This window comes from Homo sapiens, chromosome 21, assembly GCF_000001405.40.
Source record: "Homo sapiens chromosome 21, GRCh38.p14 Primary Assembly".
In the NCBI taxonomy this organism is placed as follows: Eukaryota; Metazoa; Chordata; class Mammalia; order Primates; family Hominidae; genus Homo; species Homo sapiens.
Window position 1 is genome coordinate 17,514,997 of NC_000021.9, and position 15,859 is coordinate 17,530,855.

Below are 15,859 nucleotides of genomic sequence, written 5' to 3' on the forward strand. Positions count from 1 at the left end.
CTTTGATAGGCACAATTCTAAGAAATAATATTTTGATGCAGAGAGTCATTGTGCTCATAAGGTATACACGGGTACAGTGAACATCTACTCGAAGGGCCAGTGTCTCAGCTAAACAAGGCAACTATCTTTATTCCAGTTTTTCAGTTTAAGAACAGCTGAGGCCAGGCACGGTGCTTGTAATCCCAGCAATTTGGGAGGTTGAGACGGGAGGGTCATTTGAGTGTAGGAGTTTGAGACCAGCCTGGGCAACATGGCGAGACCGCATTTCTACAAAAAATACAACAAAATAAAACCCAAAAAGAACTAGCTAGGTGCAGTGATGCTTGTCATAGTCCCAGCTACGCGGGAGGCTGAGATGGGAGGTTTGCCGGAGCCTGGGAGGTCTAAGCTCATGAGGTCTAAGATCATGACGCTGCTCTCGAGCCTGGGCGACAGAGTGAGACTCTGTCTCAAAAAAAAAAAGAAGACATACTAATTGATGAATGGCTTTATTTCTTCAGATATTTCTGACCATTTAGAAATGCATTGGTATGGGCCGGGCGCGGTGGCTCACGCCTGTAATCCCAGCACTTTGGGAGGCCGAGGCGGGCAGATCATGAGGTTAGGAGATCGAGACCATCCTGGCTAACACGGTGAAACCCCGTCCCTACTAAAAATACAAAAAAATTAGCCGAGCCTGGTGGCAGGCGCCTGTAGTACCAGCTGAGGCTGAGGCAGGAGAATGGCGTGAACCCGGGAGGCGTAGCTTGCAGTGAGCCCACATCGCGCCACTGCATTCCAGCCTGGGCGACAGAGCTAGACTCCGTCTCTGAAACAAATAAACAAAAAAAAAGGCATTGTTATTAACTCAAGTTCACTGTTAACATGATTGACTCCTACTTTAGCAAAACAAGGGAAAGACTCATTCAGATTATACCGTCAGTGATAGATATTCCTCCAGCTCTGAAACAGTTTTGTGGTATACTCTGGCTGCAGATGGGACTCCTTTCGATGCATTTTTATTGGCTGCCTACTAGTGAGTCATACTACTAGTAATCAGTAGTAGCAGCAGTAGTAAGCAGTGGCAGTAGCAGTAGTAGTAAAATTAAACCCTTGATCAGTTATGAAATGCCAGATACTGTTCTAAGGGCTTTACATACCTATATATTCAATCCACCAAGCAACCCGAGAGGGTATTTATTATACTTATCCCTGTTGTACAAATAGAGAAACAGAGGCACAGAGTCGTTATATAATTAACTTGTGAAGATCACAGATTTGCTCTTGAATCTGTGTTCTCATCACACTATGCTCTTCTGTCCCTACAGCAGCCACTTTCTCTTACTACCACTGGTCATCTGTCATTTATTAAGAACCTACTGTTGGTTTGACTGTGTGTCAAATACTGAAGGCTTTTATTATTAGCTCTTTAATGTCATAGTCTTAATTGAATACTTTGAGGCATTGTGAGGACACTAGTTTCTCCAGGGCTTGGGTTGACATTGTAAACTAATGTGGCCTAGGGACCTGCAGCGTCAGCATTACTTAGGGATCTTGTTAAAGTTTGGGGTGGTGTTCTTCAATTGCCAACATGAATGGAACTAAAAAAGTCTGGTCTCCCAACCTCTTGTTAGCTATTTGATGGTGGCCAAGCCTCACTGTGTGTCTGTTGCCTTACGTGTCAAGAATGGGGATCCTGGAGCAGGTAATGGGGGTTGAAGGTGGAAGGGTTGGGTAGATGTTGGTCAAGGGATACAAAATTAAATCCATTATCCAACATGGTGACTATAGTTAATAACAATGTATTATATTTTTGAAAATTGCTATGAGTGGATTTTAAGTGTTCTCACCACAAAAAGTATGTGAGGTAATGCATATGTTAATTCCCTGGATTTAACCATTTCACAAGGCACACATATTTCAAAATAATGTGTTATATGTAGATAAACATACACAATTTTTGTCAATGAAAAATAGAAAAAAAACAGAAAAATACCAAATTTATAAAATAAATTGAGGTGTTTGGATGAAAAAAAATACAAGAGCTTTGCCTTCATGTCTGTAGATCTCTTAATATATTATTGGTCTTGCATCTCAGATATCAAATAAAGGTACCTAGCTTGACACAAAAGTTGGTAGCTGCAAGGTTAAGCTGTATTAGTTTGATGATGGGCCAGGAAATGATATATTTTCTAAATTTTATCCTTAAATATTGGCTGTAACAAATGCTGATATAGCAAAACGTAAGCTTCTATTAGACAGCAAGAGGGAAACTTGAGTGAATGAATGCAACTTACCTCCAAGTCCTCTTAAAGGAGGTAAAATAATAAATACTGTGTTTTACCAGTGCTCCCCCCAAAGCATTATTCTAAGCATGCAGGAGGGTATAGTGAGCAGCTACAATAGTAAGATCCAACCCAGAGGTAGGTTCAAGGCCAAGAGTAGGAGAGTGGTTGAGGAAATCCTCCTAGGGCCAGTACCATTTCATAGAATGCCCATTTGTGTTGGGGGATGAGTCTGGCCTATTTTCTTCTGATTCAAAAGCACATTCCCAATTTCAACCTTGCTGAAAAAGAGGCATTTTTGTACCTGCTATTAAGAACAGCTAGGATACAGGATAAGGCTGGCATAAAATTATTTAGCAAGCACATGCTAGCTATTCCAGTTTGAAATCTACCAAACTGTAAAATCGGGGAGAAATAAAAAGTTGAAGTTGTTGTTCCTCAAGATGAGGGAACAAAATCTTACAAAAGGTGGGATTAGGCACTCGCTTAACTCTATATGGAGAACATCCTTCTCAAGCTAGGTGGAAGATGAGGAAGAATATTACCAAAAGCTGACCAGGCCATTTGGAGACCAAAAGGAAAGGAAAAAAGGCATTTAGGAAGCAAGCTAGTAAAAGAAGTTCTTCTGGGTCTGACTAGGTAAGTGAATCTAAGGGAACCATACCAAAGATATGTTACCCATTACTCCAGCATGAAGCCAGTGGCAAAATACCTCAAGACATTTTAAACCCAGAGAAGTGTATGAAAAATATGATAGTTAACCAAGCAGATTAAAATCAAACCACTAATGGTAAAAATCTCTTCAGATCTGAAATCCAAGATACTCACTTTCCATTAATTCTGTGTTTTATAGGGGGAAAAGAAAAGTAACAAATGTAAAGATTTTTTTTATTTCTACTGGGGAGGGAGGAGGATAAATAGAACTGTTTTCCAATTTGCTCTCCACTGTATACACACATACCCACACACATACATAAGCAAACATACACCAAAAATACCCCAAACCAAAAACAAAAAAACCAGGAATCAAAACCCAGAACACCCTCAAACTGCACCAATACTTCATATTTTGACCAAAAAAATATCCTGAGAGGAAGGCAAAATGCAAAATCAAATGACAGAAAAATGCTGAACAGCATTATTAATATACAAAATATTTATATTAGTGAACTAGTAACAGGTGATGTTCTCTGTGTCTGTAAAACTTTGGAACCACATAGCTGATTTGTTCAATCTAGTCCATGCCAGCTTCCAAAAACCATGCCAGCTTCATTCTTTGATGCCTCATCAAAATTTTCTACAAGATCGGGAACATCATCATCCTCCTCATCAGTGTCTTCTGGTTTTGCTGCTTTACTGTCCAAGACTTGCCGTGGGAACTGTTCAGCTAACTTCCTAAGGCTTGTTAAACTGTCAGCACCAAGCTGACTTAATATTCCAGGTATCATTTCTGTGATTGGTTTGGCTTCTGCATGACCAGTAATTGCAAAGGTGTTAGCAGAAAGGGAAGCTTGGACTTTGGGATTGTTGAAGTGAATAACTGTCCCATCATCTTTAATCATGTTCATCTCTTCAATACCAACTATATTATTCACAGCCAGTTTTTTTAGAGAACTCTGAAGCTTTTTGTCATCAGCCATGGCTGTTTTATGTACCACCTTCTTTCTGCGAGCTGTACCCTTGCCCCCTATCCGGACCTGAGCCTGAAGTTTGGCTAACTTTTCTTGATTCATGCTGTTGGTAAATCTGAAGCAGGGAGGGTCCTCCAGCACCAGCACGCGGCAAGAGCAAGATGGCTGCCCGATATGCCCCCTCTTAATCTTTTCATTCCTGCGATTATACCACCATCAGAGGAAAAATGCCTCCCCTCCAAGGCAAGCCTCCCTACATTGGCTCCTTACCCTGTCTGTTGTGGGGTCTCCATCGATTACCAACTTAGCTCACTGCACTAGATCAGAGGACAGGGCCATTACCTATATTCATTGTTGCAGTCCCTGCATGGTCTTGTGGCTCCTGGCAGACAGCTAGTGTTCAGCAAGTCCTTTTTGCATGACTGAAAGTTTTCAACTTCTTTGCCACTAGGCCTGTGTGTATGATAGAGCTCTCTTCAGTTCATCACTCTCTCCCTTCTCATCTAATAAAGATGGTCCTTACAGTGATTATTCCACTAGTCATGTCTGAGTCAGTTTTTAATCTAAAGAAGCTGAGCTTCTGCTTTATCTTTGACCTCGTTCTATTTTTTCTCCTGCTTCAGTTGCCAAAGGTTACAGTAATGCATGTGCCAAATTGGTTTATCTCTTTGGAACTCCTTGACACCTATTTTGGTTCTTTCCCACCCTGTTGACCTGCGCTTTACTGTCTTCTAAAATAGGTCCCTTAAATGTCAGCCTTCCTTATAGTTTAGCCCATAGTCAATCTTGACCTTAAACCTGGGTGACCTCTTGTATCCATCATGGTAATCTCCCAAGTATTGGTAGTGAATTAAAAATATTTTCAGCTCCCAGCCTGGCCAACATGGTGAAACCCTGTCTGTACTAAAAATACAAAAATTAGCCAGGTGTGGTGATGTGCGTCTGTAATCCCAGCTACTCAGGAGGCTGAAGCAGGAGAATTGCTTGAAGCTGGGAGGCTGAGGTTTCAGTGAGCTGAGATCGCGCCACTGCACTCCAGCCTGGGTGACAGAGCGAGACTCCATCTCAAAATAAATTATATGTATACACACACACACACACGCACGCACATGCACACACACACATATATATATAAAATATATATTTGCACCTCAACCCACCTCTGCTTTGGATCCTGGGCCACTATTTCCAACTGCGTAACTATTCAACTTCCATTCGAATACCTAACACTCTTCACTCTCCAAGTACACTCACCTGTTAATTAAGTGATACTTAATGTACTGATACTACTATGTGCAAAGCCATGTGCCAGGTGCCCCTACAATAGAACATGACATTGCAAGTTGCAAAAGCTTTGGCAGAATTTTCCAGTCAGATGGTACAGCTTTTGCAAAGACATAGAGATCTGAAGGGTTTGATATGTCTTGGGAGTTGAGTAGTTCAGTGCATGTAAGGCACCTAACCAGTGCTTCTCAAACTTTGTGCATCTGAATGATTCTTACAAGGAAGTCTAGGTGGGGCTTGTGAGTTTGCATTTTAACAAGTTTTACATGATGTCACTGCTGACCACGTTTTGTGTGGGCAAAGATCTAAAGGCCATACTGAGAGCTTGGTGGGAGCTGACAGGTCTGTCAGGTTATGCACCCTAACCCCACGGTACTAAGACATTTGTGGAAGTGTCGAGAAGTAAGGTTATACGCTGAGATTTATTTTATTGAATGGTAGCTATGTAGCAGTTCTCAAGGAAGGTAGAACTGATAGAGCTAACACAGGAATCCTCTGGGATGATCTGGACGTAAGCAGTCCCTGTTGAAACGCAGCAGAAGAGAGTTGGGCTTCTGCTTTGATCTGGAAAGCTTTTCTGAAGAAGATAGTAGTGGAACCTGATGTCTGGTTGCTTGAATGAGTAGCATGAAAAAGTTGGAGAGATTTCTGGCTTGAGTGTATAATGATGTCACTAACCTACGGGAAATAAAAAGGAGCAGGTTTTAGGGAGATGACAATGAGCTTAAGTTTGGACAGGTAGTATTTGAGGTGCCTGAGAGGCAAGGAGGTAAAAAAATATCTGATAGGAAGATTGCAACACAGGACTGGATTTCAGGAAAGAGACAGACATTGGTGATACAGACTTGAGAATTCACTGCTGTTAGGTGGCGTCTGTATAAAGTTAAGGAGGAAATGCAGGTAGGACTAGAAGAGAAGGTGAAATGTGAGGCGGGGGAAACATGAACTTCTAATAAGTACATGAGGAAGCAGCTGGGAGTAAGAAGGAGTGATAGGGGATATAGGAGACCTAGAGGATGAAGGTGTCCTAGAGAATGATGCAAAAGTGAGGCTAGTGGGTTTTAGCACTGGGAGACTGTTGAGAACATTCAGAAAGTTCCCATGGGGAAGACAGCTCTGCAGAGGTGAGAGTGAAGCCAGATTTTATTATTATTATTATTATTTTGAGACGGAGTCTTGTTCTGTTACCCAGGCTGGAGTGCAGTGGCACGATCACGGTTCACTACAACTTCCACCTCCTGGGTTCAAGCGATTCTCCTGCCTCAGCGTCCCGAGTAGCTGGGAATACAGGTGCCCGCCACCACACCTGGCTAATTTTTTTATTTTTAGTAGAGATGGGGCTTCGCCATGTTGGCCAGGCTGGTCTCGAACTCCTGACCTCAGGTGATCCACCCTCCTTGGCTTCCCAAAGTGCTGGGATTATAGGCGTGAGCCACCGCACCTGGCCAGGCTCCAAATTTTGATAGAGGAGTGGGCATCAGGTAAGTGGAGAGTGAAAAATAAACTTCACATTTGCAGGTGGTTTGACAGTGAAGCTTTGCATGTGTGGCCTTAATTCCAGAGGACAGTAGCATATCCCAGGGGAGAAGGTAGAAGCCAGCAGATAAAGACTCTTTTAACTTCCCTCCATCTAGGCCTACAATCTTGTCCACATCATCATTCCACAAAACATGGTATTTCTCCTTAAGGCCAATTCCTGAACTTCAGACCTTTTGGCTTCTCAGGGATGTCACTCTGTTATCCCATCTATTATATCTGGATTCCGTCAACTTTAACCAAGCTTATTTATCCCTCTTTATATTCCTTCGGTACTGTTGTCGCTTTGCCTTTATTTTTTATTTTTAAATTATTTATTTTTTTGAGACAGTGTCTCTCTCTCTTGCCCACGCTGGAGTGCAGTGGGCTCAGGTGATTCTTCTATCTCAGCCCTCAAGTAGCTGGGACTACAGGCACCTAGGCTTATTTTTCTTCTTTCTTCCTTTTTTTTTTGGAGACGGAGTTTTGCTCTTGTTGCCCAGGCTAGAGTGCAATGGCGCGATCTCGACTCACCGCAACCTCTGCCTCCCGGGTTCAAGTGATTCTCCTGCCTCAGCCTCCCGAGTAGCTGGGATTACAGGCATGCACCACCACGCCTGGGTAATTTTGTATTTTTAGTAGAGCGGGGGTTTCTCCATGTTAGTCAGGCTGGTTGTGAACTCCCGACCTCAGGTGATCCGCCCGCCTCGGCCTCCGAAAGTGCTGGGATTACAGGTGTGAGCCACTGCGCTCAGCCTTTATTTTTCTTTATTAACCAGATTTCTGGAAAAAATAGCCTGCATGTACTGACTGCATTATTTTCTTTCATGCCCACTAATTCTTCCATCCTTTGCAATCTAATTTTCATCCCCTTCTACTTCTATGAAACTGCAGTTGCTGTAGATTGCAGTTGACACTGTGGCTACATCCGGTGGTCACATCGTATCTTCAGCCTCTTAAACCTCAGCACAAATAGCTCTATTGAACAGTTTCTTTCTGCTCTTGAGCTATTCCTCATTTCCTTTTGTATGGTCCATTTCCTTCGTGTACCGTAAATGCCAACATTTCTCAGTTTATGGGTGCAGTTACTGTTTATTTGCCTACAGTCTCCAGTACATTTCTAGTCTCCCTTCTCCAACTTTACCCACATCAAAACCATCCACTTAATGTCTCTACACACACTTCCCACAGGCATCTCCAGCTGATTCTGTTTCACACTCTTCTCTCTCATATTAATTGGCATTTTCAGACACCAAAATGCCCAGGCAAAAATATGAATATCTTACTTGGCCTTTCCTATTTTCCCATCTGCTCATATCCAATTTCGAAGTCATTGTGTCCCTCCAGCCACTACCTGTAATCTAGGTTATACCATTCTCTCTTCAGCTTGTTGAGATGCTTTCATAATTGGCCTCCTGTTGAGTGAACTTTACCCTGTCCTCCAGGCACATCCTGTTACTTACTGCAGCATGTTCTAACCTTTATCAAGCATGCCGATACTGTCATTGTTTTCTCTTGCCAGAATGTACATTTCATAGGTCAGGCACTGTTTACATTGTATTCCCAGTATATGGCACAGGGCATGTTCATTGCATAAATGGGGAAAGTTATGCTAGACAGGAATTCATGTTTGTAGGCTTGGGAAGGACCTAGAAGAGAAAGAGCATTTGAAGATCAAGAATAGGTACCTCATGGAAGAGGTGAGCAGGGCTGGGCTCTGTGTCCTGCACAGGTCAGCTTTGTGTCAGCTTTGCCAGGTGTTCAGGAGTGGAGTTTATATCACCACTCACATTTAGTTCTCCTACTTGCAGCCAGTTCTCTCCCCTTCCCTTATTTCCACCTTTCATCTGTCATAGAAGTCATCATCAGATGAGAGTTGATGCTTTGTGTCATTAAATAAAGGAAATAATTGAGGCTGGGAACTTTGGATTCAGTTTATTTGGTGGCTAGCAAGTAGTTGATGTGAAGATAATTATTAAATTAAATTAATTATTAAAATAAGATAATTATTAAAATAATGCAGAAAACAATTAAAAATTATCCAACCAGAATGACCTTATGGGTTTATCTTACTGTCTTTCATCTAACTTCTGTTTCTTAAGAAAACAAACCTAGTAATCTAGAATAATAATTGTTCAATTGGGTTTGGATTTAGGTTGGTTCTTTTTATTTTTCTTTTTCTTTTTTAAACAGAGTCTTGCTCTGTCGCCCAGGCTGGAGTGCAGTGGCGCGATCTCGGTTCACTGCAACCTCCGCCTCCCAGGTTTAAGCAATTCTCCTGCCTCAGCCTCCCAAGCAGCTAGGATTACAGGCGCTCACCACCATGCCCAGGCGATTTTGTGTGTGTGTGTGCGTGTGTGTGTGTGTGTGTGTGTGTATTTTTAGTAGAGTTGGGGTTTCACCATGTTGGCCAGCCTGGTCTTGAACTTCTGACCTCAGGTGATCCACCCACCTCAGCCTCCCAAAGTGCTGGGATTACACGTGTGAGCCACTGTGCCTGGCCTACATTGATCTCTTCTGTGCCTTCCCATTTGTCTTTCTTCCCTCAACTTATTGCCTCACCCATTCTTTTTTCAGTAGTTACCCAGGGCCAGGCGTGGTGGCTCATGCCTGTAATTCCAGCACTTGTGGGAGGCCGAAGCAGGCGGATCACCTGAGGTCAGGCATTCGAGACCAGCCTGGCCAACATAGTGAAACCCTGTCTCTACTAAAAATACAAAAATCAGCTGGGCGTGGTGGTGTGTGCCTGTAATCTCAGCTACCTAAGAGGCTGAATCAGGAGCTACCCAGGAGGAGAATCGCTGGAACCCGGGAGGCAGAGGCTGCAGTGAGCCGAGATCATGCCACTGCACTCCAGCCTGGGCAACAGAGCAAGACTCTATCTCAAAAAAAAAAAAAAAAAAAAAAAAAAAGCCAGTTAGAGGCTGGGAGTGGTGGTGTGCGCCTGTAATTCCAGCACTTTGGAAGGCTGAGGTGGGAGAATCACTTGAGCTCAAGATTAGCCTGTGCAACATAACAAGACCTCATCTCTACAAAAAATACAAAAATTAGCCACGTGTGATACAAAAATTAGCCGGGTGTGGTGGCACGTTCCTGTAGTCCCAGCTATTCGGGAGGCTGAGGTAGGAGAATCACTTGAGCCCAGGAGGTCAAGGCTGCAGTGAGCTATGATTGCACCACCGCACTCCAGCCTGGGCGACAGAGTGAAACCCTGTGTCCAAAAAAAGTTAGCCAATTAGACTTAAATTAAGCCTTTGAGTTTAAGTTGACTCAAGTTTTTGTAGTTTATTTCAGTTGGTGGGGTGTTTGCAGAAGAAAAGACTTTCTTGATCTATTGATAAAAAAAGGAAGATAGGAAAAGGGAAGGAGATAATAGTAACAATATTTTTAGGGTAAGTGTGAGATCAGTGGTATGGTTCAGTTTGTCCTTTGGTACTTGGTGAGAAAAAGGATTAACAATTAAATTAACCAACATTTATACATACTAAGAAAATGCAAATTTCTTTGGAAACGTTAAAATCATTTTCATTCTTTCAAAGATATTTCTTACAAAGTGGAATGGGAATGGTTTTAATTTCATTTACTTCTAAGAAATAAAAGTATGTTAAGATTTTAAGAAGAAACAACATAACTAATTGCAGTTATTTTTTCACTTTCCCATCGTTAGATGTGTGTTCTATGTGAGTTTTAGACATTTTCAGAGGAAGGGTGGATTGACTGTATGTTTGAAGTCCTCTCAAGGAATCTCAAGGGACATACAATGAACTAAATGTGTTCAGCCCCCACCTTTGTTCAGTTGTTGGAGTGACTATCACTTATTCTCTTCAGTCTCTCTCACATGTATTTTAAACACTTGAATACTGGACAGTTCCCATGGGAGATTTCTGTCAAGGACCAGATACAAACTTTTGACTTTGTTTTGTGCCAGGGTAATTCTGCAGGAAGAATTGAGAAGACTCTTAACTTACTCAGTTGTACAGTGGAAATCTGATACTTCTAGAATGAACTTGTAAATCTGGATGAGCAAAATGATCATATCTTATTTTTAAAGACAATTGCACACGCATCTCATTTAGAGCCACTCTCTTAACCTTGGGATAGAAAGGACACATCATATTATTCTCATGTATAGGAAACAAGTCCTAAAGCCCAGGCAATTGTGGCATTGGTGTTAGAACAGTGCTGTCCAACAGAAATATAATGCAAGCCACATATGTAATTTAAAATTTGCTAGTAGCCACATTAAAAGGCAAAAAGAAAAATGTGAAATGAAACAATATATTTTGTTTAACACAATACATACAAAATATGCTTTTTTCCCCATGTATTCAAATGAAAAATATTGGGATATTAAAATGTTTTTCGTACTTTGCCAGAATCTGGTCAGTGTTTGACCTACAGCACATCTCATTTGCACTAGCCATGTTTCAAGTGCCAGCAGCTACTGTATTGGTCAGCACTAGGAGTTTTAGTTCCAGTCATCTTCCACCATAGTCCTAGAACATTTAACCTGAAAAAGCATGGGGGCAGTGTGCCATCAAAACAGCTTTCTCAAATGGAACATGCCTTTGGAATAGTTCTCATGAGATTTTACTTCTAAAATCGTTATTTTTTTTTTGTCACATAGTATTTGTTTCCTGTTAGCGATGAGCTAAAATAGTTTCTTATTTCTTACTTAATCTCTTGTAGTCATCAAAACATTTGTTACAGGCACACAAAATTGTATCAGCTCTCCTTATTCCATAGTTAAAGCCAATCACATCTTGAGTATAAAGCAGAAAAGTATATGCATAATAATTATATTTTTAATTTGCCTAGGTGGGGAAATAAATGCATTTATGGAAAGGTCCAAAAGAAGCAGGATAGAATGGCCCCAGGTAATGGTTGCTGGGGAAATTTGAATTCACTTAGAGTTATTAAAAAGGAATCTATACCAAGATTGGGGCAATCAGGTTAGACATGCTCACAACAGGGATAATTTTCTTATTGGAGTTAACTTTTTCTTCATTAACTTCAGGACTTTTCTATAAGGAAATACACTATTTGCTCATTTTGCTAATAACATCTGTGTCTATTTCTTGGATATCTTATTTTCTGTGATCACATCTTTATAAGACACTTCATCTGGGTGGGTTTTGGTGTTTTGTTTTTGTTTTTGTTTTGCTAAATAGTCACTTTTCCTGTCTCATGTTAATTGAAGAGGAAGAGAAGCGAGCTGCAAGTTTTATATGAGCCAGGAGGCAAAGGAAGATTTCCTTATATGGAGTGATACATATTATTCTATGAAGGTGATGAAAATATTCACCATGGCAACTGATCTGCCTTACCCATAATGCAAAATACCCTATTTGCATTTATTTTGCCAGAGAATTCTGAAATTAGGATCTATGTAGTAGAGAATATGAGGAAGGTAATATACTATTTCGGTTGAAAAGGAGAATAATTTTTCTTTTGACTCGTCAAGTGCAGTAGTAAGAAGGGGGGAAGAGAAGAACAAAGAGTTGGATCTGTAACTGTGAACAATTGATTGAAATAATTCACTACTTTTAGACCAACCAAGAAGAAGAATAGTTTTGACCAGAATTGGAATTTGAACGCTCCCCCAAGTTGAGTATGTCTGTGTGCTAGTGGAGTGGGGAAGGGTTGAGTCACAATCCAGTTCAGCAAATCTCTGCCAGGATGTTTACTTTTTAGCTCCCCTTATCTGATTTTCCATTGTAAATTTGTATTAAATATTTCTGATAAGCAGCCTCAATTCTTGTGGAAGTTTGAGGGCAAATAAATAATATGTACTTATGGGCAAGGCATTGTAATAGTTGCTTCAGGAGATTTAAATGAGTAACACACCATTCTAGTACTCTTGGCAAGCTTAAATCCAGAGGGAGGAGTCAGACAATTATTCGTGCAGCTATGGTACCAGGCAGAGCAAGGCAGGAATCATAGCAGATATGCTATCTGAAAATGTAAGGTATTCTGATTATTCCTTCCATGCCTTAACTGGCATCTCTAAACCATTTTTCCTTCCACCTTGGGAACCCCTCATCCTTTGAGACTTCTGCCCTTTGCTTATATCTAACTTATAGTTGCTGCTCCTTTTTTATTTTTTTATTTTTATTTATTTATTTATTTATTTTTTAATGAGACGGAATCTCGCTCTGTCGCCCAGGCTGGAATGCAGCCTGCTTCTCCTTGTTGACAGGAAATGCTCAGCTTCACATTCACCCCCTGCCCCAGCATTATCCGGCATTTTAGTATTTACGTTTTACAATGCACTTTTCTAACATCCTTACACCACATTTTCTTGACCTTTCAAATACAGTGAAAGGTATTTTTTAGCAATTTTACTTAGGCAGTGCTCTCCTTATGCTTAGTTCTTTCTTTTTTTTTTTTTTTTTTTTTTTGAGACAGAGTCTGGCTCTGTCGCCCAGGCCGGATTGCAGTGGTGAGATCACAGCTCACTGCAAGCTCTGCCTCCTGGGTTCACACCATTCTCCTGCCTCACCCTCTCGAGTAGCTGGGACTACAGGTGCCTGCCACCTCACCCAGCTAATTTTTTTGTATTTTTAGTAAAGACGGGGTTTCACCATGTTGTCCAGGATGGTCTCAATTTCCTGACCTCGTGATTCGCCTGCCTTGGCCTCCCAAAGTGCTGGGATTACAGGTGTGAGCCACCGCGCCCGGCATGCTTAGTTCTTTTTTCTTTTTTCCCACGCTAAACCAGAGACCCTTTTTTTGAAATGGAGTTTCGCTCGTTACCCAGGCTGGAGTGCAGTGGCGCGATCTCGGCTCACCGTAACCTCCACCTCCCGGGTTCAAGCGATTCTCCTACCTCAGCCTCCCGAGTAGCTGGGACTACAGGCATGCGCCACCACGCCCAGCTAATTTTTTGTATTTTTTAGTAGAGACGGGGTTTCTTCATGTTGGTCAGGCTGGTCTTGAACTCCCGATCTCAGGTGATCCGCCCACCTTGGCCTCCCAAAGTGCTGGGATTACAAGCGTGAGGCAGCACGCCCGGCCAACCAGAGACCCTTTAATGCTTAGATCTTCACTTCTAAAATCTTGAACTCTAATATCATGCCTCCCAGCTTTCTCATTCTGCATCACACCTTCTCCTTAATATCAGTGAGGCCTCCAGAGCCTTTCCCAACTCTCACACCCCTACTGGTCTTCTGGCTACTTTAAAACCAGAATTTCGTCACTAGTCCTGGTCAGACTCCAGCTCCCGTTCCTGATGTGGATCAGTTCTCCGGGGCAGTTTCTTTGCTCCTACTCACGGACTGTGATGCACAGCTGTGTGGCTTGGGGAGGTACTTTTTATTGTCCAATTTGACTGGACTTTTTGTCTTTTTTTTTTTTTTTTTTTTTTGAGACAGAGTCTCACTCTGTCACCTAGGCTGGAGTGCAGTGGCGCGATCTAGGCTCACTGCAACCTCTGCCTCCCTGGTTCAAGCGATTCTCCTGCCTCAGCCTCCTGAGTAGCTGGGATTACAGGAGCCCGCCACCATGCCTGGCTAATTTTTGTAGTAGAGACGTGGTTTCACCATGTTGGTCAGGCTGGTGTCGAACTCCTGACTTCGTGATTCACCCGCCTCGGCCTTCCAAAGTGCTGGGATTACAGGCTTGAGCCACTGCACCTGGCTTTTTTTTTGAGACACAGTTTCATTCTCCCTCCCAGGCTGCAGTGCAGTGGCATGATCTTAGCTCACTGCAAGCTCTGCCTCCCGGGTTCAAGTGATTCTCATGCCTCAACCTGTTGAACAGCTGGGATTACAGGCATGTGCCACCACGCCCTGCTAATTTTTGTATTTTTAATAGAGATAGGGTTTTGCCATGTTGGCCAGGCTGATCTCGAACTCCTGACCTCAAGTGATCCACCCACCTTGGTCTCCCAAAGTGCTAGGATTACAGGTGTGAGCCACTGCGCCCGGCCGCCTTTTTGAATTAAGTACATTAATAAAGCGTTAGAACATTATGTATTTAACACAAAGACAATTTGAATTTGCTTTTTTGTTGCTTATTCCTTCAGGTATTCTAAAATTTATTTTTAAGTAAAGCTTTTAATTGAAGTTATGACATGCACAGACTACCACACAGTTTAGACCATTAATTTTTATAAACGTACAGGGTAGAGCATTGTCACAAAGTGGCCACACCTGCATACCTAGCAACCTGATCCGGAAATAGAACCCAACCCACATATCAGAAGCCCTGTCATGCCCCTTCCAGTCCCTTCCTTTACTATTTTTCTTTTTCTTTTTCTTTTTTTTTTTTAATTTGAGATGGAGTCTCGCTCTGTTGCTCATGCTGGAGTGTAGTGGCTTGATCTCGACTCACTGCAACCTACACCTCCTGGGTTCAAGCGATTCTCTTCCCTCAGCCTCCTGAGTAGCTGGGACTACAGGCGCATGCCACCATGCCAGGCTATTTTTTTTTTTTTTTTTTGTATTTTTTAGTAGAGACGGGGTTTCACCATACTGGCCAGGCTGGTCTCCAACTCTTGACCTCAAGTGATCAATCACCCACCTCGGCCTCCCAAAGTGCTGGGATTACAGGCGTGAGCCACTGGGCCCGGCCTCCTTCACCCTTTTTTCCACTCTTTTCTGATTTCTAACAATGTAGATTAGTGTTAACATTTTATATAAATAGAATTTTACAGTTTGTGTTTTTTGTCTTATTTTACTTCTCATGTTGGTAAGATTATTCATGTTGTGTAGCTTTGTTTTATTCATTTGCATTGCTGTGTGATATTCTATTATGTGACTGTATCACAATTGATTTATTTATTCTACTGATGGACCCTTTTTCCCAGCTTTTTTGCCATTATGAAATAACTACTGTGAAGGCCGGGCGTGGTGGCTCACGCCTGTAATCCCAGCACTTCGAGAGGCCAAGATGGGCCTATCACTTGAGGTTAGCAGTTCAAGACCAACCTGGTCAACATGGTGAAACCCCTTCTCTACTAAAAATACAAAAATTAGCCGGGCGTGGTAATGCATGCCTGTAATCCCAGCTACTAGGGAGGCTGAGGCAGGAGAATCACTTGAGCCCAGGAGGCAGAGGTTGCGGTGAGCCGAGATTGCACTGTTGCACCGCAGCCTAGGCGACAGAGCGAGACTCAGTCTCAAAAAAAAGAAAAAGAAAATACTACTGTGACATTATCCTACA

At 42.2% G+C, this 15,859-nt stretch overlaps 1 protein-coding gene and 1 pseudogene across 10 annotated transcripts in view, besides 1 other annotated feature; one reads left to right on the plus strand and one right to left on the minus strand.

Annotated features, from left to right (window-relative positions):
- CXADR (CXADR cell adhesion molecule) overlaps positions 1–15,859 on the plus strand; it is a 123,220-nt gene that overhangs the window by 1,954 nt on the left and 105,407 nt on the right. The gene's annotated exons all lie outside the window — the stretch shown is intronic.
- Positions 1,938–4,065, minus strand: BTF3L4P1 (basic transcription factor 3 like 4 pseudogene 1; annotated as a pseudogene).
- Positions 12,968–13,904: an enhancer, noted in NCBI's record as "H3K27ac-H3K4me1 hESC enhancer chr21:18900282-18901218 (GRCh37/hg19 assembly coordinates)". NCBI's record gives its function as "activates a minimal SCP1, AML or CMV promoter by ChIP-STARR-seq in naive H9 embryonic stem cells {active_cell/tissue: H9 hESC(naive)}" and the evidence as "EXISTENCE:reporter gene assay evidence [ECO:0000049][PMID:30033119]".